General features: G+C 51.1%; 3 annotated features.

Annotated features, from left to right (window-relative positions):
- Window positions 4221-4795: an enhancer, noted in NCBI's record as "NANOG-H3K27ac-H3K4me1 hESC enhancer chr1:37783288-37783862 (GRCh37/hg19 assembly coordinates)". NCBI's record gives its function as "activates a minimal SCP1, AML or CMV promoter by ChIP-STARR-seq in primed H9 embryonic stem cells {active_cell/tissue: H9 hESC(primed)}" and the evidence as "EXISTENCE:reporter gene assay evidence [ECO:0000049][PMID:30033119]".
- Window positions 5528-6028: an enhancer, noted in NCBI's record as "H3K27ac hESC enhancer chr1:37782055-37782555 (GRCh37/hg19 assembly coordinates)". NCBI's record gives its function as "activates a minimal SCP1, AML or CMV promoter by ChIP-STARR-seq in naive H9 embryonic stem cells {active_cell/tissue: H9 hESC(naive)}" and the evidence as "EXISTENCE:reporter gene assay evidence [ECO:0000049][PMID:30033119]".
- Window positions 8830-9349: an enhancer, noted in NCBI's record as "NANOG hESC enhancer chr1:37778734-37779253 (GRCh37/hg19 assembly coordinates)". NCBI's record gives its function as "activates a minimal SCP1, AML or CMV promoter by ChIP-STARR-seq in primed H9 embryonic stem cells {active_cell/tissue: H9 hESC(primed)}" and the evidence as "EXISTENCE:reporter gene assay evidence [ECO:0000049][PMID:30033119]".

Raw genomic sequence — 24180 nt, 5'->3', positions numbered from 1 at the left:
TGAGAGCAGTGGGTGCCCAGGCCAGCAAAGGAGAGGCTTTGGGAGGGTCTGGGGAGAGTGGACAGCTCCTTCAAAGACCAGAGAGAGGGTCTCAGGCTAGCATTTTGGGAAGGAAAATTGGGGCAGAGAATGGAGGTCCCCGGCTCTCAGGCCAACAAGATTCCAAATTCCATCAGAAGGATGAGCAGTGCTCACAGGGGAGCTGAAGGCTGAGGACTCTGGGGCTGAGGAGGCTCCAGGCCCACAGTTACAGCAGGAAGGCTTGGAAGTCAGGTGCACAAAGTTTGACATATAGGAGAATAAGCTCTCCTGATCTGGTTTTGTATTCTGTTTCCCTGCTGATGAACTGTGTGATCTTAAGCAACTTACTTAAACTCTCTGAGCTTCAGCATTGTCATTTGTGGGATGGACATTTTCTGTCTGCTTTGTGGATGGGGTGATTAAATGGGATTAGGAAGGTAAGGGCCTAGCACTGTGCCTGACTCGCAGTTGATGTTCAATAAATTTGTGTTCCATTCCTCTGCCTCCTGCTCCTCTTCCAAGTAGAATAATTGCTCCCAGGAAACTCCTGTCTTCTGTTGCTCTCACATCCACCAACCCCAGGGCACAGCCCCCAGGACCTCAAAGTCACAAGTCCCCACTCCTGCCTGTGTCTCCTCTCCATCCTCTGCTTCATCCGGGGCTCACCCTGGCCACTCCTTTTGCACATACCTTTTTATAAAATAGACTACACATTCAACAGCAGACACAATCATACGTTTCCAGAATATCCTCTTTGGAACAGAGAAAAATAAGTCATGCTCTCCCCAGTCCTGGATCTCTAAGAGCATGGGTGGGGAAGGAGAGTTGTGCTGAATCCTGGCTCTGACATTCCCCAGTGTGCAACCTTGGGCACCATAATATGCGGAAAGGTGAAACAGTTTACAGATGCTACTGTTTTTATTTTGCAGGATGTTTTCTGATATGAATACTGAGGTCAGGAGGTTTTCCTTAGCACTTATTACTTTTTTCTATTAAGTGGAGGACTTGGGTGGTTTCCACCCACGGACCTGACTGTTGAATGAATTTAACAGTCTCCATCAGTCCGCAAGCAAGTGCACCCTGGTTTTGCCGTCTGCTCAGCTGGTGTGAGGCTCCAGGGTGAGAGGCAGGCAAAGGAGATATTCTTGCTAGAACCTTCCCTCAAGGAGCCTTCTGGAAGGCAGGCCACAGTTCTAATGCTGGATCCTCTGCTGGTTGGTGGTGGGACCCAAAGCACTTGGCTGCCTGGCCCTGACCCTCACCTTCCTCAGGGAGGACGTCATGTTGTTATAGACATAATGCTCACATTAGGGGCTCAATCAGCCGTTGGCTATTGCTATTACTATTCATATAATGAGATCATGTGTGTGAATCACACGCACATACTTTGCACAGAATAAGGGGTCAATTTGTGGTAGCAATTTATTTATTTATTCCATACCCCTCACTTCTCCCCTTCCTGACCTCAGGTAACCACTAATATACTCTTTATCTTCATGAGATCCCCTTCTTAAGCTGCCACCTATGAGTGAGAACATGTGATATTTGTCTTTCTGTGCCTAATTGATTTCACTTAACCTCATGGCCTCCAGTTCCATCCATGTTGCTGCAAACGACAGGATTTTATACTTTTTTTTATGGCTGAATAATATTCCATGGTGTATGTATTCCACATTCTCTTTATCCATTCATCTCTTGATGGGCACTTAGGTTGATTCCGTCTCTCAGCTACTGTGAAGAGTGCTACAATGAACACAGGAGTGCAGATTATCTCTTTGATGTATTGATTTCCTTTCTTTTGGATCTATACCCAGTAGCGGGCTTGCTGATCATATGGTGGTTCTATTTTGAGTTTTTTGAGGAACCTCCATACTGTGCTGCATAGTGGCTGTACTAATTTGCATTCCCACCAACATCTAGTGATAGCTATTTATAATAATCATGCTCATAATCATAATAAATAATGTACTCAAAGTCCTTGGTGGGCACAGAATGGGTCCTCAGTAAAGATTCTTAAGAAAAATCCAGGGGGATTCTGAGTGTAGACCCCTTGCTACAGTGCCTGTGCCTGCTGGTGGTGAGTGCATGGTGGTATCAATACTGATGATCATGAAATGAGACCAAGTTTGTAAAGCACTTCCCACAGGGTGGGGCACATGCTGGGTACTTGGTGCATGTTTCTTTCCATCTCCCTCCAGCACCAGGGGCGCATTCCTCAGACCAGAAAACTGCAGAGCCCTAGGCTGCAGCGTCCCTTTTAGTAACTCCTGGGCACAAGGCAGCCACCCTTCTCCTGCATCCTGGCTGTCTCCAGGTCTGGCTCTTCTGGCCTTGGCAGACTCTAGGCTGGTCAGGCGGCTTGAGCACTACCAGTACCTCTGTGGGCTGCTCCAGGGTTGCCCTACTTCTCCCACCCCGTGGCCATCCTCAGATGGACATGACTCTTGTAGGCTTTAGTGTCAACCCGGAACTGAGTGCCCCTTCTGAGAGGGGGATCTTGAGATCCTCTGGAGCCCTGACTCTGCACCCAGAATCTAGTCTGGAAGGAGAGGATCTCTGGGCACTGATGCCCCCTTCCTCATTCCCAATCCCCAGTTCAGGGTGCATCCCCAGCCTCCCAGGAACCTCCTAGGTGTTGGGACAACCTTGGCGTGAACTATGAGGTCCTAAGGGCCTGTGCTTAGGGCCACACCCACATTTTCAGGAGGCCCTGGGGACTGCAAGAAAATAATCACTCGTGGGGCCTGGGGAAGCTGGTTTTGTCAGTTAGACTCATTCTGTCCCTCTTCAGGTAGACACGTGAATGATCACATATATGCCACACACATACCCTCTCTATCATGTGCACAGGAATGTATGCCCAGGTCTTTCCCTAGACACGCCCCACATACCCAGGCCCTCACCCAGGCACACACGCGCACACACACACACACACACACACACACAGGCCCTTACCCAGAGACACATACACACCCAGGCCCTTACCCAGGGGCACACACACCCCCCCAGGCCCTCATCCAGGGATATACACATACCCAGGACCTCACCCAGAGACACACACACATACACCCAGAGACACACGCACACCCAGGCCCTCACCCAGGGACACACACACACCCAGGCCCTCACCCAGGGACACACACACACACATACCCAGAGACACACACACCCAGGCCCTCACCCAGGTACACACACACACCTAGACACACATACACCCAGGCCCTCACCCAGACACATACACACGCACACCTCCAACAGACAGGCACACACACTCACTCAGGCCCTCACCCAGGGACACACACACACCTAGACACACATACACCCAGGCCCTCACCCAGACCCATACACACGCACACCCCCAACAGACAGGCACACACACACTCAGGCACACCCACACACACTTGGGCCCTCAGCCAGGGACACACACACACCCAGAGACACACACCTAGACCCTTATGCAAGCACACACACACTTACACACCTCTACTCTTACACGCTTGTAGAAGCTCCAGGATCCTGAACACGTATCTGAACCCCACCACCCCGCACTTATCTCCTCACACACTGTAGATATTAACATCCCCCTCCTGCCCTGGCTCACAGACACACACGTGCACTCACACATATGAGCACACGTGGACACCTCTACACCCTCCCAGACGCCCCCACACCCTCCTGAAGCACAGGCACATGAAGGTACACCCCCACACGCCTGTGTGAACCCACACACTCCTCCCGAACCCACACACCATGGGCACACCCCTCCTCCCAGCGGCAGCTCTGGACCTGCCTGTGCCCACCCCCGCCGTCGTTCCCCGTAAATGTGCAGCCATCCCGCGTCCCCGCGCTGCCGCAGCCCCTCACTCGGGGCCCTCAAAGAGCACGCTTATAAAAACATTCTTCCCGTGATGGAGTGCTTCCTTTGGGCTTCTTCGGCTTGTAACAGATTAAAGGCGAACAGGCATTTGTCATGGGGAAGTGTACCCAGTTGTGCTGGAAAATGGACTTTTCGATGAGCGTGAGAGCTTGAACCTGTCACAGAGGGGAGAGCCTGTGTTATTGCAGCCTGCCGGGCCGCGGTGGCCGCTGCGGCTTATCGGCTGTGGCAGGCATCACCTACGACTGCAAGGATCCCATTACGGTAAGTAATGGCTTAATCACAGCCAGTTTGTAATGGAGATGACCTCTCCGCGTCCCGCTGGCCTTTTCGGATGGATTGCACCTCTCCACACCGTGACTAACAGCACTCCGTTCTGCTCTCCTGAGAAAGGGCCACGGGGCTCAGCCGGACACGACGCAGACGGCTCCGGGGAGGCTGCAGAGAGGGGGGAGCGAGGGCAAGGGCAACGGGAGGAGGAAGGGCCCGGGCCCTGGGCACCACCGCGCCCAATGTCTCACACAGGCGGGAAGCTGAGACGGGGAGAGGGCACGATGCCACACGCGGCCCCCGTCTTTTCAAGAGTGATAGTGACAGTGAGAGCTGCCATTGGGTAGGTGCCAAGAGAGTGTTTGTGTTTCCCAGGCTTTATCTTGCTCCAGTCACGGGAAGTAGAATATTACCATCACCTCTTTACAGATGAGGAAACGGAGGCTCAGGAAGAACAAGTGACTAGTGCAGGATCACAAAACAGACAAATAACGGAACTGGGGCTCAGGTTGGGGCTGGGCATCCTTGGAGCCAACGTTCTTGGCCATTGTATCCAGAGAGAATCCATTCTGCTTTTGGGTGGGGGACCTCTCGCCACCTTCCTTCTTCAGCAGGGCTGTAGCTGAACTTTCCTTGTCGGTGTGCTCTTGTACAGGGAAGCTTCACTTTCTGCCTGTTTATTTGTGTGTGTGCCACATGTTTGAGTATCCCTCTGTAGCTGGCCATTGGTGGGGGTTGAAGGCCACTGCAGCCTCAGCCCAAGATCAGGAGGTCAGGAGCTCCATGGTGAGCACAGGAAGTCTGTCTTTGGATATCGCTAGACCGTATGTCCCAGGGGTTGACTTGGGGGGATCCTGGAACTCGTTAACGGCCCCATCCTCTTTCCTCCACTAAGTCCTGCTCCTGCCACTGTAGCAACGATGCACCAGGGCACCAGGCAAAACATCTGGGGACTTAGTGGAAGAGCAAAAGGACTCTCTTCTTTGCTGTTTTGTTCATTTCTTCAGAATCATGTTTAGCTCCTGAAGAAGAGGGTGGAGTTTAGAAAGATTTGGAGCTGAGTCCAGGCTCCATCAGTGGCCAGCAGCATGACCTTGAACAAGTCCTGCACCTCCTTGAGGCTTGACTTCCTCACTTGCACAATTCCTAAACCAACTCGTAGAGACATGAGGCTTAGATGCCATCGTGTGTGTGAAGTATCTGAAAGTGAACCTGCTAGCTGGTTGAGACCAAGGTGAAACACCTTTACCAAAGCTTGCTGGAGAGAGGACAGGAAGCAGTGGAGTTGGGTCCCAGGCATGTGGTCTATGTGTGGTCTTGATACTCTACCGCAGAAGATGGTAACCACAATGGTAATTAACATTTGATGAGACCTCACTGTGGAACAAACACTAGTGCTTCCCATGGATTTCTCATCTAATTCTCCCGAAACTCTGGGTGATAATGAACATTATTATGATTCCCATTTTATGGATGAGTCAAATAAGATCAAAGATCCTGCCAGTGTCACATATTTAGGAAACGGAGCTCCTGGATACAAACCCAGGCTGTCTGGCTAAGTGTCAGTGCGTTTACTACTGCGCTTACCTGTGTTTGGGATTATTCAGAAAATCCCAAAGTTCTGCTCCCTTTGCTTTTGGAATACAATGCGAGCACTTCTCCCATTGCCTATGAACTCCAGTATGTCCCACATTCCAGTCCAGGGCAGGGGCAGGAGACTGGGCGCAGCTGGAGGGACAGGGCTGAACCCAAGCTGTGTTCAGGAAGGCACCTGGCCACAGAGAAGAAGGAACATTGGTGGGATACCCTGACTCTAAGGCAGAAAGCAGAGAGAGCTGGGCTCGGAAATTCATGAAATTGTGTCTGGACATGGGGTCTGCAGAGAGCACTTTGTTTTGCAGACTGATTTTTGCCGCTATGCTTATCTGCAAGGCTTCCTGAGACAAGGCTGCTGCCCTGTGACAGGAGGGAAGTGGCTGCTGAGTTTCGTTTACTTAGCAATATCTATTCAACGAATATTTATTAAGGGCCTACTATGTACCAGGCACCGGGCCAAGCAGCCGTTGAGTTTCCTTTGCTTAACAACATTTATTCAATAAATATTTATTAAGTGCCCACTCTGTACTGGGCCAGGCACTAGGGATTCAGTGGTGAGAAAGACAGACAAAATTCCTTCCTACCTGGAGGCTGGCCAAGGAGATGCAAAGAAATCCCAGCTCAGCACCCTCGGAAGCATTTATCAAGGATGTACTCTATGCCAAAGACTGGTACATCACCCTATGTCATCCCTCATAACAACTCTATAAAGAAGTACTACTGTGATGTCCATTTTTTCAAATGAGAAAGCTGAGTTGAAGAGAGCTTTAGTGACTTGCCCGGGGTTGCACAGCTGAGAAGTGACAGAACTGAGCCTTAAACCCAGCTCTGCTGAAAGCCTATGTTTTAACAAATGTGACTCTGCTATCTTGTCTACTGGCAATATCCCTGCAGATCTGAGACCTTCATGGGATATGGAGTGGAGGAGGGGGACAGGGCTCTGCTTTCTTCACCTGGAAGGCTGCTTTCTTACTTCTCTTCCTCACACCCCTCCTCCAACCCAGCTTTCCCCAACCCCCAATGCCTAGGCCTTGCCTTCTCTGCAGTTGGGGAGAGCTTATTCTCATGCTAATTGCAAAACTAATTGTTCTTATTGCAAAATCCATTATATAGTATATTTATATTGCAGATAATGAGCTGTTTGGATTAAATAGCTCACTAAAAGTCAATAAAAAGAAATTTGCTTCCCTGTTCCTCCCCTCATTTTTCACCAGCACCGTTAACACAGCCGTCGTTCTCCCTGAAGGCTGGAATTCATTAAAGCACCTGGAGCTGCAAGGGGATGTCGCTGTGTGGTTTTTCCCTTTCCCTTTGAAAAGGCCTTTGGAGGAGAGAGTTGGAAGACAAGAAGCAGGTTCTTTCCCCTGGTTTTAGTGATGCAGGGGTGACTAACCAACTAGAGTGCATCTTAATTTCTAGCAGAATCGAAGAACATGATTTCTCCAGAACAAAAGCCAGAGCTCAGGGGGTGGGGGCATGTGATGGGGGAGTGGGTGTGGACCCAGGAGTGAACTGACAGCCACTGCCACCCTCAAAGGAGGGGAGAAATATCCAAGGTCCTCGGCGCTGAGCTCTTTGCCCCCAAAGGGCTTGGGGACTGGAATGAGGCAGGGAGATGACAACCCCAGGACATGCTCTGGGAGAGTGAATATCAGATTTGAAGCTAAGGGTCTGGACTTCCAGGTTCTGGCCCTTTCCAGCATCTCTTGTGGGCTCCTAGAATTTTCCTGGTCTACCCATTTCTCTGGTCTTGGTTCTAAACCTGAAGGTGGTTTGTGCAAGCTGAGACCTACCAGGAAGAGGGCTGGTCTGTGAAGTTCTGGGTTTATTGGCACAGGTCTTCTGGAATTACTGTTTTATTTCATAGAGTGTGGATTTTTTAGGAGGAGCTGACATCAAGACTTGAACCAATGTCTGTGCACTTGACCTTCCATGGCACTGCTCTGTGTAATCAAAGTGGGGCTGAGAAGAGGGGCTGTTTCTTATTTTTTTTCTTAGGAGCCAATCTCGTGTTTGGTCTAATAAAATGGCATGATCAGAGTGTTAAGATGACCTGGATGGGGGCTACCAGCTTTGTCAAACCTACAGCGATTAGCCTTTTCTCAGCCATTCATTCATTCATTCATTCCATCCATCAGTAATATGTATTGAGTGCCCATGAGGGTCAATGTGGTGTGTTAGCCCCTAGTGATGACTCTGAATAAAATCAGGCGAGGTCTTTTCTCCGTCTCATGGAATTGTGGGGGCAGATACTAGCCAGATAGTCACACAGATGAGTGACTAATTAAAACCAAAGCATGTGCTTTGAAGGAAAGGAGAACACTTCTAAGAAAGTAATCCTAGGAAGACCTAACCTGGATGGTGGGGCCAGAGAAAGCTTCCTGAAGGCTGTGCTAGGTGGACTGAGCTCTGCGGGGGTGAATTCCTCAGACAATGAGGGAGGAGGAGAACATTTGAGCAAAAGTCCACCCCAGAGAGAGAGCAAGGGGCAGTAATGGGACAGCAAAGAGGGTCAGTAGGACAAGGCTGGCATCCCAGCACATGTGAAGCAGTTAAGGAGTTTAATTCTTTACTGTGGAAGCAATGGTAAAACTTTGAAGGGTTTAAGGCAGAGGAGTGGTGTGATTTGTGCTTTAAAAAGTTTTCTCTGGTTTCCAGTGACATATCAGAGGTAGCATTGGGAGCATTAAGCTGCAAAGAAGGGTGGAGGAGCCTATGGAGAGAGGGGAGAGGAGAGAGGAGGAAGGGAGGGAGGGAGGGGGAGAGAGAGAGAGGGAGAGAAAGAGAGATGGAGAGAGAGAGAGAGAGATAGAAAGAGAGAGAGAGGAGGAAGGACCTCGGTAAGGATGGAGAAGAGGCAGTTTGCCCAGAGAAAATCAAAGTTGTATTAGAAAGAGGAGAGAGATGCTGGCCATCTTCCCATTCAGTGCAGTACCGAGCAGACCATAATTTGGGGGGCTGATTTTAAACTCTCAGATGACAGTGATGTGGCACCTCACTCCAGCGGAGAGTTCCTCAAACCATTCATGGAAGCTTTGGGAGCCTTGGTTATATCCCCAGGGATGCTCAGCTTAGTGCTTGGAGAGCTGGCAAAGTCATTGTAGAGCTGTCTCATGGGAGCAAGGCAAACAAAGAGATGCTGGGTCATTACTGCATGAATGCCCTGGACTTGTGGAAGGGAGAAGCCTTGGCATTCGCCAGCCTGGAGCAGGGGCTTCGGGAACCTCCAGATGGAACAGACAGGCTAGTGGCAAAAGGAAGGCAGCCTGAGAAGGTCTCACTCCAGGCGGCTGTAATGGCTGTAATCTACAGCCATCTTTACTTAAGGACTTCAAAGGGAGATGAGAAGAGCGAGAGAGGCAGTTAGATGCTGAAGCAGCTTGAATGTGACGGAGATCAAAGGCAATGGAAGGTGGTTCTGTGCATTTCCCCAACCCCTTGCCCCAGCCTAAGCATCCACAGAGATGCTGGGATGGAGGGATCCCTAGGAAGGAAAAAGAGGCACCAGGAAACTTGAATCCAGCAGAAGGGGCACAAGAAGCCCCCCATAGACCAGACAGCCCCTCCTGGGTGGGGGTCTGAGGAGCTTAGGGTTCCTACATTCTGGGGCCCCCTCCTCCAGGCAAATAATTAAGGACTCCTAGGAGGAAATAATGATCCCTTTGAGCCACAGTGGTGTCCCCTGTGTGGGTTTGTGCGTGCCCCTAGATTCCCCTCCAGTCCTTCAGAAAGTTATGAAGTTGTCGTGGCAGTTGGTATGTGGCATGTAAGTGGGGAACCAAACCGACATGGTCAGGAAGGGCTGGTTATTTTTGCTGCATCTCTGGGGTGGGTTAAGAGATGGAGGTTGTTTGGGGGTTGCTCCCCTCTGCTTGGCAGGCTTGGGATCCATTGTTCTTGGGAATAGGGGCATGGACCAGATGGCCCCTTATTGTAAGATTTTCTTCCTAGGTCTTTTTAAAAATTTATTTATATTTTGTGTAGAGAGAGAGTCTCACTATGTTGCCCAGGCTGGTCTCAAACTCCTGAGCTCAAGTGATCCTCCCACCTTGTCCTCCCAAAGTTCTGGGATTATAGGCATGAGCCACTGTGCCTGGCCTCTTCTTAAGTCTTGATGGTGCCCCTGGATCTGGGCAGGAGTCATTGCCTGTTGACCCTGCAGCCAGCAGTGACCTGTTCCTATTTTGAGTCATTTCTCTGCTCTTAGATCTAGCTCTTCTGTGAGTGCCTGGGTCTCCATGGACAGCAAGCTCCATGAGGCAGAGTCCCTGGAAGAGGCACTGACCATCCTTTTGGACACAGCTCAGAGCCAATAATAAGAGTTTGAGTGAATAAGTGAATGAGTAATGACTGACATTTTGATTGTGCTATGACAGGTGCAGTTCAGGAGAAGCTCCCTTCTGGGAGTAGGTAGGGATCTGGGTGCCTAGGTTTCTGGGCTTTGTGGAGGGTGAGACATTTAAAGGGTTTAGTTTCTAATAACCAGAATCCAGGATGGAGGCTTGGAGGAAGGTCAAGGGCTAGGTTTTTGGCAGCGCAAGGTAAAAACTCCATGTTTACGCAGATGACTGGGATAGGGAGTATAGGGGAACTTGTGGGAAAGGTGGGCTTAGGAGAGTGAACAGGGCAGAAGCTGAGAGTCTTCAAGTGCTATTGAGGCAGAAGGGGGCAGCTCAGGATAACTCCAAAGGCTTCAGTGAACACAGGGCACTCACATAGCCTGTGGGTCTGGAGGCTGGAGGACTGTGTGTGTGTGTGTGTGTGTGTGTGTGATAACAGCTCTGAACTTCGGAGAAATGCATGAAGGTTCTGGGCCTGGGACCCCAAGAGGTATTTGTGGGGGTCTTTGGGAGATGCTGTGAGAACTTGGAGTAGAGGGCATGGTCCCACAAGGTGAGGAGGTGCCTCGGGGTGCCTGGAGTTCCAGGTAGGGCAGACAGGGCCTCTGGGAGGGCAGATGCAGGGGCCTCTGGGATGTTGGGGGAAGGGGCATTCCTTCAAGCTCTATCTTCCCAGCACTAATTGGAGTGGCTGGCCAGGGAAAGGCTGGGCTTAGGGCTTTTCCCCCTTCAGTTGGGATGTAAGAGAATTTCCTCCTCAGCCTCTGCATACTATAGAAAGCAACTCACAGAGCACATGTGAAACCATGTATACCCAACTGGTAAGGCCAGCAGAGGTAACTGGGGGAACCCACCCTCAGCTCGCCTTGGCCTTCCCCTCAGCCATTCACCTGCAATGTGGGGGACCCAACACAAGAAATAGATGAACAGGCATCTGCCTTATGGGGCATGGGGTTGAACTCACTGGGGTGGGAGAGGGGCCCCTGGGGAGGAGAAGCTCAGGGCCTGGTAGAGCTGGACCTCAGGGAGGGTCTGAGAAGTGGTTTTTCTCCCCTGAGAAAAAGAAGTGAGTGCTCAGAGCCCTGACCTCAGTCCTGGAGGAGCTCACAGCTCCGTAAGGAAGACAGATGGGAGCTTGGGAATAAGGTGAGCAAGTAAAGGCAATGAGAGCAGATTTGTGAGAGTGTGTGTGTCACAGCAAGTGTGCACCTTTGTGTGTGTATGAGTAAGTGTGCACCTTTGTGTGTGAGTTTCGGGCACGGTGGCTCACGCCTGTAATCCCAGCACTTTGGGAGGCCGAGGCCGGCAGATCACAAGGTCAGATAAAGATCCTGGCTAAGACGGTGAAACCCCGTCTCCCCTAAAAATACAAAAAATTAGCCGGGCTCGGTGGTGGGCGCCCGTAGTCCCAGCTACTCCGGAGGCTGAGGCAGGAGAATGGTGTGAACCTGGGAGGTGGAGCTTGCAGCGAGCTGAGATAACGCCACTGCACTCTGGCCTGGGCGAAAGAGCGAGACTCTGTATCAAAAAAAAAAAAAAAAAGTGAGTTCCTCAGTGTGTAAGAGTAAGTATATGCCTCTAAGTGTGCAGCTCTATGTGTGTATAAGAGTAAGTGTGCACTCTCACTTACTCTGTGTAGAGGAGTATGTGTGTACTTCGCTGTGTGTGTCAGAGTCAGTGTACACCTGCACGCCGGCCCGTGTGCATGTATGTGTATCCTAGGTGGGGTGACAGGGAAGATGTGAAGGAAGATTCGGTGCAGAGTACGTGTTTGTGTATTTGAGGGTTTTTGTGATGCACAAACGTGCATGAAGTGTCTGTGAATGTGTCTGGGATGCTTGGGGTGTGTGTGTTTGTGTGTGTGTGGGCCCCTGCTGCATGGTCCAAGGGCTGTGTGAGTTGTGCTTCTTTGGTGTGAACAGGGAAACCTGGGTAGGGAAGGAGTATGTGGGTGTGTGTGTGCGTGTGTGTGTGTGTGTGTGAGAGAGAGACAGTGCACGCGAGTGTGCCGAGTGGCAGGAATGACAAATGATTAATCTATAGAAATCTATATTCTATTCTTCCATGCGTCCACTCCACCCTTCTCACGCGCCCATGCATCACCTCCGGAAATCTATCACCCGACTCCCAGCCAAGGACAGGCTGCGAGGAGCGAGTGCCTGCCTTATTGATGGACTTGCCTGGTGCTTTTTACACATTTGGATACGTGGAGAAGGAAAGCTCACTCTGGCTGTGTCGTTCATGCTCTTATTCACTTATTCATTCATTCAGTCAGTCATTCATCCAGCAAATAGTTCTGGAGTGCCTACTGTGTGCCAGGAATGGTCCTGGGTGCTCAGGGTGTGATGATGAATGAGGCATTTCTGGCATTAAGGGCCAGTGGGGGTCCCAGACAGCACATAGGCCACTTTGGTAGAATGTGCAGGGGGCTCTGGAATAATACAGGGGGTTTGGAAATTAACCTCGGGGCAGGGGGCGGTTCACAGAGGCTCCTGAAGGAGGTGACATCTACGGGAGCTCTGAAGGGTGATACAACCAAAGGGTAGGGAGAGGAGAGGGTGCACCAGGCAAAGAGATTAGCATCTGCAAAGGCCCAGAAGCAAAGAGAGCTTGCCTCTTGGGAAAAGCTCAGAGTGAGTCAGATGGCTGGGGTTGGAGTGTGAGGAAGAAGTGGTAAGAGATGATGCTACAGAGGTGGCTGGTGACTGAGGGGCATCCAGTACCCTGTGAAGGAAGCTGGATTTCATCCCAAGGGGAGCCACTGAAGGGTCTAAGCAGGCATCATGTGGTGTTGCATTTTAGAAAGTGACCTCTGGCTGATGGTGGGGAGGCTGGACTGGAGGCAGGGAGGCCAGTTAGGAGGCTGTCATGGCAATGCCAGGGAGGGATATGGTGGCTTGGATTCCAGTGGTGGCAATGGGGGTGGAGAGGTATGGCAGAGTCCAGAGGTATTTTGGAGGTGGAACTAAGGGCTTGGTGACGGAGGGGTGTTGGCATGAGAGAGTGGCAAGCATGACCCTAGGTTTTGGGGCAAGTCACTCGACCTTGCTGAGCCTCCATTTCCCCATCTCTAAAATGGGGAGAACAATTCCTGCTTCTTAGGGTTGCTTTGAGGCCGTTTGGTTCACACTCAATGGACCACTGTTGGAATCCACCTTGGAACGGAACATCTAATCTTCCCTGTTTGGTTCATACTCAATGGACCACCATTGGAATCCACCTTGGAACAAAACGTCTAATCTTCCCCTCCCATTACATGAGCCACCTCCAGGTCTGCTCTTATCCAGAAAGGTTTGGGCTGATCTACCCCCCAGTGGCTGTTTCTTAAACCACACTTTGGGCAACCCCTGGACTGTGGTGCTAGTCCCAAAAGCCCACTGCTTTGAACCCCTGAGGGAGACTTGGAGGTTGTCCAAGCCAGCTTCCTGTTCCAAGATGGGCAGCCAGGCACTCAGAGAAGGAGAGGACCTTCTCAAGGTCGCCCAGTGTGCCATTTAAACTTGCTGGTGTTCAAGAAGCCACAGGCCATCCTCAGGCAGGCTGACCCCCTAAAGGTCATTATGTCCCACCTCCTGCCTTCAGACCCAAAGTATCTCCGACCAGCAGGTGGCCTGCCTGTTCTTGGAGGTTGCTAGGGAGCTGAGCTTCCTTGGCCGAGGCATGTGATTCCTGGCTGTCTTCAGGGAAAGGGCACTGGCCAAAGTCCCAAGGAGGCTCCCAGAGTGGCTCATTTTTCAACTCGTCCTTGTGGGGTGCGAGGAGACGTCCAGACACAAGTGTTTACTTCAACTCCCAGGGCAGCCAGACAACTTCTGATCTTGGAAGCCTCCTTGCTTCAATCTATTGCTTCTGTACATTTGGATAATGTTCCATTTTGCAAAACAACAAGTTCTCTTTAGACGCAGGCAGAGCTGACAGTTATCACAGCAAAAGCATTATTTTGTTTCTCTTTCCTCCCCCTCCGTCACTCCCTCCTGAGCGAGCGTGCATGATGGCATTAGAATACCGCAGTGAAAAGGCTTCTGTTCATCTCTTCGGAGGGTGGCATGAGAGGCGCTGCCGCGTGGGGGGCCACGGGAGGGCGTCTTGGCCAGCATTCCCACCTGGGCCTTTCATGCACTGCTGCATTTGCGGAGGAAACGACACTGGTGACAAAAGCGGACCCGGCTCTTCTCGAGAAGAGCTGAAAAGTGCCAAGGAGAAGGCCCTGCACACTTAGAATATTTTCAAATTAAGTGACAGCGGGCACAACACGATGGGGGAGACGGCTTGTGTTTCTTTGGAGCATTCAGTCACAATTCATCATTATCCAATTTTTTTTTCCCTTGAGTTTTCTCTCTCACACATTTTTTATCCCAATCTGACAGCTAAATGAGGAATCACACTGCCTACATTATGTGTTTTGTTCAGGAATTAACCCATCATCAAACACGGGCTGCCAAGTGGTTGGTGTGAGCAGAGAGTGACTGCACCAGCCCTAGATGGCCCGTGTCACACGGGGCCCATCCAGCTGGCCATCCTGAGGACTTGCTTGGAAAAGGTGGCCGGCAGGAGACATACCAGCTTCTCAAGAAGGGCTGAAGCCCAACATGGAGCTCTGCATGTCCCCGAGCTCCAGCCACAGGCTTCTCAACCAGAAGAACTCTCCAGGTGCTTTGGCCTGATCCTTTGCTAAGTTCATGGTGTCATCAGATGTGAGGTCATTCTGCCCCTCCATCTGCCTCTGGCAGCCTTGAGAAGAGAGGCATCAACCCCTGACCTCTATGAAAGGGTTAATTCAGCTAAGCTGATAGCTCTTCTTTTGGGAAATCCTTGAAATACTTGACTCTTTCCTACTGCAGTGGGTCTACTTGCTTTACCTTCTCAGCACGTTTCTGGGTACAAACTCAAGCTTCAGCTCAGAGCAAGAGGGAAGCGAGGGATCTTTGTGGGTGCATCTGGTCTTTCAAAAATGGCCAAGTTTCTTTCTTCTTCCCTTCTACCTTGTTCTTTCCTTCTCCCCTTCTACCTTGTTCTTTCCTTCTCCCCGATTTCTTTTCTTCCCGACTTCACCCTCTTTCCTTCCCTCCTTTCCTTTCCCCCTCCTGTCCTTTCTCCTCTCCTCCTTCTTTCCTCCTCCCCAATTTTTTTTTTCTATTCCAGTGACGAATAAGATCCTGCTTTGGATAAGACAGACCCGGTGTTTGCAATCAGATAGTTGCCAATGTGGTGAGTTTTCGGAAGGCGAGGCGCAGGGCACTCCCTGACTGTGTGTTGGGGAGCCCCTGCTGAAGACAGCTGCAGGAAGCTAGGTGACGGGCAGACAAGGCTTGGGGACGTCGGGAAGCCCAGGCAGGGCACGCTCTCCAGGACCTCGACTCTGCTGGCAGGACACCTCACCCACAGAGTGTTAGTTGAGTGAGAGATGAACCATGCCTGGCTTTGTTCATCCACGTAGCCCAGCTCCTAGCACAGACCTGGTGGAGGGGCTCAGTAGGCACACTAGGCATGAGGTCAGTGAAGAGACAGGAGAGTGGTGGTGGCCATGAGCTGTGGTGCTGACCACATCCAACATCCCCAGTTTCCTTGGTGGCTGGCAACTTCTAGCCAATAACTGGTGCTCCCAAAATCTCGTCACCTTGAATGACCCCCAGCTTGTGTTGAGGAGGGGAAGATTATTGTATGCTGGGGAGAAGGCAGTCCAAACAGCTAGAAGCACAGGCCCTGAGCCATGTGGTGTGGCTCAAGTCCAGGTTCTGCTACTTCCTGTTTGTGAGGCTTTGGCAAGACCTGTAATCCCACTGAACCTCAGTTTTCTCCTCTGTAAAATGCAGATGATGAGAAGAGGCTCTGTCTCTCCAAGGTGAGACGAGGATTAAATGAGATGATGTGCAGCTGGTTTGACACACGCCGTTTTTACCTATTTTAACAGGAGTGCTGAGAAATTTGCCCCAGCCTCCTCTCTCTCACTCTGGGCCCCAGGGTGTTCTTGCCCTTTTCCTTCTCTGGCCAGCACAGCGGTCTACCTGTCCACGTGTTCTCTCCTTCCTTCCAGCTTGGCTAGGTGGGGATGCTGGTGAAGAAGCAGATGGCAGCCGGGGCTGAGTGTGACGGTGATGACACTGTGAAAGGGTGATAATTTATTCTGTTCAGCCTTGACTCGGAGTTGGAAGGAGAAATCAATTACTTCTGAAAGGCAAGACTGAGGGTGACCTCCCTTTCTGACCTCTAACAGGCAGCCGGCCCTTGGTCTCCTGGCTCCTGGAGAACAGGCCTGGAAGACCCCCTGGGGCCCATCCCTGAGCAGGGACTTACGGCAAGGATTGGGAAGTGAGGAGCAGGCTGCAGGTTCAGCCCCAGAGAGAGGGGGCTGGGAGGCAGCAGGGCTCTGGCCCCATGCGGCAGGGATGCCAGGTGCAGGAGAGTGCTCTCAGTGTCTTTAACTTGGCCCGGGCACTGGGCTGGGCCTGGCCTGCACGTGGGTCTTTTCTTCATTCATCCACTCGTCTTTCTTGTGAGTGGTGGATGTCTTCCAAGCAGTGGGGAGAAAGATGTAAAACTAATCCCCACTCTAATAAAAACAGTCTCCCGATTAAATATGTATGAACACATATTGATTTGGGGATTAAACAGAAAAGAAAATTGAGCCTGTAATTGAGCCAGGGAACATGTACGGGGTGAGACTTGGGATGTGCTTCTCCAAACACACCTGCTGGGGCTGGGCTGGGGCTGCCCAGGCGTAGGAAAGGTGCTGGGAAGCCTCCAGCACCCACTGGGTGCTCCTCTGCATGAGGGGCCAGGCCAGCCTCTGCCTGCTTTTGGAGGAGCCTCTGCCCTTTTCCTAATTTGGGGAAATTCCCAACATTCCAAAGGAATTTGGAGGAATGGGAGGGCTGTACTATTCCTACAGATGTCTGAGTATGAATCTTTAGCTGGTGGGCAGCTGAAGAGGCAGGCTTCCATCCTGTCTTAAGGAAACATGGATTATTGCTCACTTGTTACATGCAGGTCCTGAGGAAATGGAAGAAGCTGATCCAGGATTCCGCCTACAATCTTTGGACTCTAAATCCAAGGTTGTGTTTACTATAGGCCAGGGCTGGGCAGTCCAGTGACATCAGAACCTGCAGTCATAGGACTGCACATCCTCCAAGCTGCAAGGGCTTTGGCCTTGAGTTCAGCTCCTTGCCTGAAATTTGTCACCTTCCTTCACTAATAAAAGGAAAGTGACCAATTTTTATCACAAAGTCATCTAACTTCTCTTTGGATGTCTCCAGGGTTGGAGAGCTCCCTACCTTTCAAAGGAAGCTGGGAGCTCTAGGATGGAACCAAAGCCTATCTTCCTACCATGCCTATCTGTAGGCTCCACACCTGTTCCTTGGTCAGAAAAAGAAGGGAAGGGGAGAATAGATTGTTGAGCACCTGCTGCGCATAAGGCCCTGTGCTTGGTAGTCTCAGGTAGACTATGACCTTTTAGCATTCCAAGAATACTGTGACATAGATCTGATTATTTTCACTTTATAGTCTAGGAAGTAGACTCAGAGATATTTGCTAATCATCATAGTCATCATCATGATAACAATGGAAACCATTTATTGAGCACCTGCTATATGTCAGGCACTTTACGTCCATTATTGCCAATCCCCACCATGACCTTGTAAAGTAGATCTATTACCTCCATGGTACAGAGAGGAAACCAAGGCTCAGAGGGCAAGAGATGTGGCCATCGTGGCGCACAGCCCAGCCACAGCTTGCCTGACCATGGCCACTTCCTGCATTGTCCTGGAGGAGTGTGGTCTCCAGGTACTCACTGTTAACTCCCCAGGTTGCACCTGCTCCAGCCCTGTGTGGTCCAGCTAGAGTGCCTCTCTCTCCCAGAGCTGGGCTCCTGCCTCACAGATCTCTGCATGCTTCTTCCCCAGGAATGTGCAGGCACCCATTCATCATTTCCCAGCCCACACCCTCTCCCCCTTTTCTTCCCTGATGCTCCCCAGCCCCTGCCATTATGTTTGCTGGAATCTGACTTTTCCCACAGGCTCACTTATCCTCAACGTACACCAGACTTTACAATTGACAGAGCATTTGCACATTTATTGTCTCATTCAAGCTTCACAATAATCTGATATCCTGTATGACAGATGAAGAATTTGAGGCACAGAAAAGTCAGGCAATTTACCTCAACTCTCAGAGCTAGTGAGTAACAATGGCAGGTCTGTCCTCCCAGGTGAGATGGCACTTGTCCCCGGAACAGGTGCCTTTGTGGGACCCACGAAGACACACTGACACCATGTGATGAGGTAAGAGGAATATACTGTGTTGGGTTTAAGGTTTACACAGACTTGGGTTTCAGATCCTGTGCTCCCTCTAGCTGGTTGTGTCCTCCTGGGCAAGTAATGTAACTGCTCTGAGCAGTGTTTTTTTTTTTTTTCAAGCTTCTCTTGAACACTTCTCTGGATTTGGAGCCAGAACCCCATAGCAGCATACCTTTTAGAAGTGCCCCCAGGACTCAAGGTTTGCCCACATGGCTAATTGTCAGAGAAACACCTGGCAAGCCAGCTATCTCCTTTGGTGTGGCCCTGGGAGAAAAGGAGAAAGGCATCAGATGTGAAGTGGAGAAATTGGAGCACCTGGTATCCCACGGCAGTGCCCAGCTCATCAAGACCCATGGGGAGTGCTGAGAGCTCACACGCTCCCAGCTGCAGCCATCTCTGCCCTGTGGTTATTAAAGCAATGACTTAATTTTAACGAGGGTCTAAGTGTTCTTCAGGAAGCTGCTTCAGCCCTGATTAAAGGAATGAATCAGGCAGGATCCAGCCTCTGCCTAGTGAGTCTGGGAACGGGAGCATTGGGCTGTAATAATGGAGGCGGAGAGTTGTAGAACCCAGAGTCATCTGAGCTCTTTTTCGGAGACTCCAGCATTTGCTGAGGAAACCCAGGCTTTGGGGCTGCATTGTTCTCTTCTTAGGTAGGAGGTCTGGTGGTGGAGGGCCAAGGCTTTTACCACCAGTGGCCTGGGCTTGCCTCCTGGCTCTACTGCTGACCAGCTTGCAGGACTGGGGCGAGGGACGTAGTCTCCCTGAGCCTCAGTTTCTTCCTCTGTGAAATGGATCAGGCTCCTGCTGAGACAATGTGAAAAAGAACATCAGGTGCATTTGCAGAGCCAGGGCCTGGCTCATGCGCCGGTCAGATGAGGAGCTGTGACATGATATCCCATGTTATCAGTTTTCTCTCTCTTGCCTTAAAACCATGTTTGCGTGCACCTGCTACATGCAGGCTATGATTAGAACCCCAGGCTTCTGATTCCAAGTCTAGGGATTTTCTTGACTCCAACATTCAAGCTATGAGAAATTCAGCCCCCAGATTCTTCTGGAGGTCCTGTAGAATCTTCTTCTGGAAGTCCTGTTGATTGCAAATTCCAAGCACCTGTAGAACCTGCGGGGGTCTGGAGTTTGTCCTCCTGTCCTGGTGCCCTGACCACTTCCGCAGATGAGTACACAAGTTGAGATGAGTACACAAAGCGGGGACAAGTTGCTCCCTTTCTTCTGCTTCTCTGTCTTAACCCTCATGATGGTTGGGAGAAGGGAACGTGTGGGTAGCTTTCCAAAACCACCTCTCCCACTTCTCAGCCTGGCAAAGCTGAGTCTGGGAGGGTTTCTGCCTCCTCCTCCGCCTCTCCTCGGTAGCTCAGCAGGAGCCCCTCAAGGAAAGCATCGGGCATTTTCTGATTTCTGAAGGCTGCCTACCTGGTGGAGGGAAACCAAATCCCATTGCATCTAGGGTGGTCCTGTGTGCCACACTCGTGGGGTGCAGGGCCCAGTGAGTTTGCCTCCCATGGGCTGGGGCCCCTGGGTTCTCTGAGGAGGTTGGTCGCGGGGCCTGGGCTCCCGAGGGGGGGCTCCCAGCTTCCTTCTGTCTCCCAACCAGCATCACTACATGCTTCTGGGAGGTGTCTGGTCCAGGCTCTCATGAGCAGAGCCCATTGTCACCTCCCTGTGGATGGAGGTAAAGGGTCCAGATGTGATTTTTGTCACTCTCCTTCCCAGTGTTTTCCCACTTGCCATGACTTTCAAGGTGTGACATGATCTGGGGGCTGGAGATTTCCCATTTCCCTCTCAAGATCCAGGCACCCTCCTTCTCATCCTGCTCTAGGCTTTGGGAGGGTGACCCATATGGACAATCTCTGGCTCCTGAGTGGCACTGGTGAGTGGGTGTCACCATAAGGAGGCTGGGGACAGGGTGGAGAGCTGGGTTGGGACATTGGTTTCTCTGATGCTTTCCCGTAGGGCCACCGCAGCTTACGTGTGGTCCTCGAGGGAAGGTCCTAGCTTTTTTCAAGGCAGCCCCCTCTTCACAACTCTGTCTGCGTCTAGTAACGGCACTCTCCCCTCACCCTCTTGCATGGGATTGTTATAGTCCTGCAGTTCTGCCTCACCCTTGAGGCTTCCTCATCCGCACTTGTGTAAAGTGCCCCTTTATTAAACTCTCCTCACCTGCCTCCTCACCTGGCTGTGTGGTCCTGGGCAAGTCACATAACCTCTCTGAGCTGTATTTTTTTTCAGGCTTCTCTTGAACACTTCTCTGGGTCTTGAGCCAGAACCCATAGCAGCATACCTTTTAGAAGTGCCCCCAGGACTCAAGGTTTGCCCACATGGCTAATTGTCAGAGAAACACCTGGCAAGCCAGCTATCTCCTTTGGTGTGGCCCTGGGAGAAAAGGAGAAAGGCATCAGATATGAAGTGGAGAAACTGCATGGAGAAATTGCAAGTGGAGCTTGCATGAGTCATTGGTGTCTGCAGGACCCTGGCCGGTGCACCCCTGACTGCCTCTCTGATCACCCAGGATGCTAGTGCAGCAGGCGCAATGGCCGATTGCAACTGGGTCCCTTCTGATTGGGCAGCGCCTGTGCCAAGCCAGTTGTTAACTATTTTAAATTTCACCTCAACTTTATTCCCTCATTCACTGCTTTCCAGACATGCTGGCCAGCTTTCTGTTCCTTAACAACCCAAGCCTGAACAACCCAAGCCTGACCATGACATCCTATGCCATTTACCTGTGCATCAGTCAGGGGCCCAGCAGGAATAGCAGGCACACTTGACTGGGAATCTGAAGACTGTGGACAAGGATAAGGGACCCTGCAGCTAGCAACTGTGGGAAGATGCTAGCACCTGGGGTCTGAGGAGGCGCTGGGAGGAAATGTGCTATCAGAACGTGAAGAGGGCTGAGCCAGAGTCACAGAAAGTTGCAGCCACTGCTAGAACCTGGGCAACATAGAAAGGAGGGGCAGGAGAAGACATGCATGAACTTCTCTCTCCTCCAATGCTCTGACTTCCTGCTGGGGTCTTCCATTGCCTGAACCCAAGTAGAAGCCAGCCAGAGGCAAGGGAGCCCAGGGGTGCATTCCACAGGGCTCAGCCCCAGGGCATGGAGCAGATCAGAGCAGGGAAAAGAACTGAATGGAAGCCAGGGGAAGAAACTGAGAAAAGCCAGCACAACTTTATGTTGTGTTTGTTGTCCTTCTCACCACCTAAAATATTCATACTCATTTGGTTGGTTGATAGTTGATTGGCTTTCTTCTCTGCTAGAATGTCAAGTCCACAAGGGCAGGGACCTTGTCAGCTTGGCCCACTCTGAGATCCCCAAGGCTGAGTGTGTGCCTGGCATGTAGCAGGTCCTCAAGAACTCCACCAAATGGAAGAATAGACAAAGAATGAGAATATGTATTAGGCCCTAGATACAACCCAGTGGCTCTGTTGCTCAGGGCTCCCCTGGGCCATCTTGGTCCTCACTTGGGTTCAGGCTGGAGAGGTCTGGCAGTAGGCACCCCCAGAGAGGGAGGTGGTATGTGTCAGCTCTGTCAGATTGGAATCTGGCATTGGCTCCAGCAGGCTCCACAGCCACTGTAGCTGGGCTGGGGTTTGTTCTGGTGGGTGGGTGGAAGCCAGAGCTCTAACTTCCCCATATCCTTGGCTCTGAGCTGCGGGCCCAGCTTTGGAAAGATTGCGGGGAGCAAACACCCTGGGCTCTGGGAAGTTCAGGCTTGGTGAGAGGTTCCAGCATGAAATGGGAGAACTTTCTTTGTTTTCCTTCCAGCCACAAAACCAGAGACTGAAAAAGGAGACAGAGGGTGAGCAAGAGAGAGAGAGAGAGAGAGAAAGAAAGAAATAGAGAGAGAGAGAGAGAGATGGAATTGGTCCCTCTAATTGGGTCAGATGACCCATTTCCATTGCATCTGTGGTTCCTGATGTCCAGGGAAGGCCCTGGGGGCAGTGCTGGGAGGAATCCTTGGCAATGTTGGGTCCCATCACTCAGTGTATCTGGGCACAGTGTTATTCACTCAGTTCATTTATCCATTTGCTTAGCAAATATTCATTGAGCATCTACTATGCAGTAAGCCCTGGATATAACTTGAACAAGTCATGGGTCTGCACTTTCTGCACATTGCCTACATTGCAAAGCCCCCAACGGTGGTATTACTCACATCCCCCAGCCCTTCCAAGATAGCGAGCTACTCCCTGAAACCTAACTTGATGGCGATATTCCCAACCTGCAGTGGACCATACCATGGACATTTTTCCACATTACTGTATCATAACAGTTCCTTGTGGGAGCCTAATTCTGGCAGTGTGTGTGTTACTCGGTGAATCCCAATGCAGCCATTCCTTATCTTACTTGGTGCAGCCTCCCAGAGGCATCACTCACACTTCTCGCTCCACCCTAGTGGTGTGCATCTCCCAGGACTGCCTGTACCATGCACACTCTTTACACCATCGAGTCCTCCAGGGGAAAGTTACTCTGCTCACCTCCACCTGGATCTCCCAAACCTACAGAGAAGTATTGCCTGTGGCTGCTGGTGGCAGTGGAAGGGGACAACATAAAGGAAAGGAGACCGAGCAGAAAAGACAGAAGCCAAAGCCCAGATGCTCCTGGAGCAGGAAGAGACTTTGCAAAATGGCTGCAGCTCCTTGCAAATGATGTATGAAATGAGGAGCATATGCCGGGAGCGATTTGTGTGCAGGAGCTTGGCTTGGCTCCCTGGTCCCTCCTGGCAGTGCTGTCTGCTAAGGCCCTGCGCTCCCAGCCCCAAGCATTCTGGGAGTCCTCTGAAGGTGGGCTCCAGGCTCCTCCTCCCTCCCTCTTCCCAAGACAAGGTACTGTACACAGTAGGTGCCCAAGCTGTGTGGCGGACGGATCATTTCTGCCTGTCCTGGTTCTCTGAAGACAGAACAGGAGGGAGGAGGGCTGAGTGAGTCTGAGATCAACAAGCCAAATCTTGGCATTTCCCAGATGGGGAAGCGGAGTGCAGAGAGGAGGATGAGCTCCCAAGGTCACTCAAGGAGCCAGTGTCTTTTGACCTCCAGCCGAGGTGTTCCTAATGTCACCTATAGGCAAAAGACTTACTTTCTCCTGGGTGGTTCCGAGTCTATTTCTAATTGTGTGGCTTTGGGCAGGCCCCATAGCTTCTCTGAGCCTCTATTTCCTCGTCTGTAAAATGGGAGCAGCGACACTAATCTGACAAAGCTTTGCAGTGCTTAGCAACACAGTACATGTGAGCTTCACCCTGTGCTTGGCTTATTGAAAGCATGTATTACCTGGGAGCTCTGGTTTCCCTCCAAGGCTCCAATCCCACGTTTCCAGCAGCTGGTGCCTCAAATTAAAAAGGAAAAGGCATACTCAGTTGAGTCTGTGCTTCCCATGATTGAGGCTGCTATCCTCCCCAGCTCCTGGGGAGGCGATCCCAGAGTCCTCTTTGTTCCATCTCGAGGCCCCACTCTCTGCTGCATCCAGTCGGGCACTTTCCTGTCCTCCCCCTATCTGTCCCTTCCTCTCTACTTCCTACCTTGCTACCTCTGGCCTGTTGGTTAGTCTCTGAATTACTCAATATTTAAAAAAAATTCCAAGTGATAAACCCTAGTTCAACTGGGCTTAAACATAAAAGGTAATTTATTGGTTTACAGAAGCTCCATTTTTCCAGTTTCTCAGGCCAGCATCTGTGGCATCATCCTTGACTCCTTTCATGCCATTATACCCAACATTTAATCCCTTAGCAAACCCCGTTGACTCCATCTGCAGAATATACCTGCAGTCCATACTCTTCTTCCA

This window comes from Homo sapiens, chromosome 1 (genome assembly GCF_000001405.40).
Source record: "Homo sapiens chromosome 1, GRCh38.p14 Primary Assembly".
NCBI lineage: Eukaryota > Metazoa > Chordata > Mammalia > Primates > Hominidae > Homo > Homo sapiens.
The sequence above is the reverse complement of the archived record's forward strand: the minus strand, read 5'-3'. Positions and strand labels throughout refer to the sequence as shown.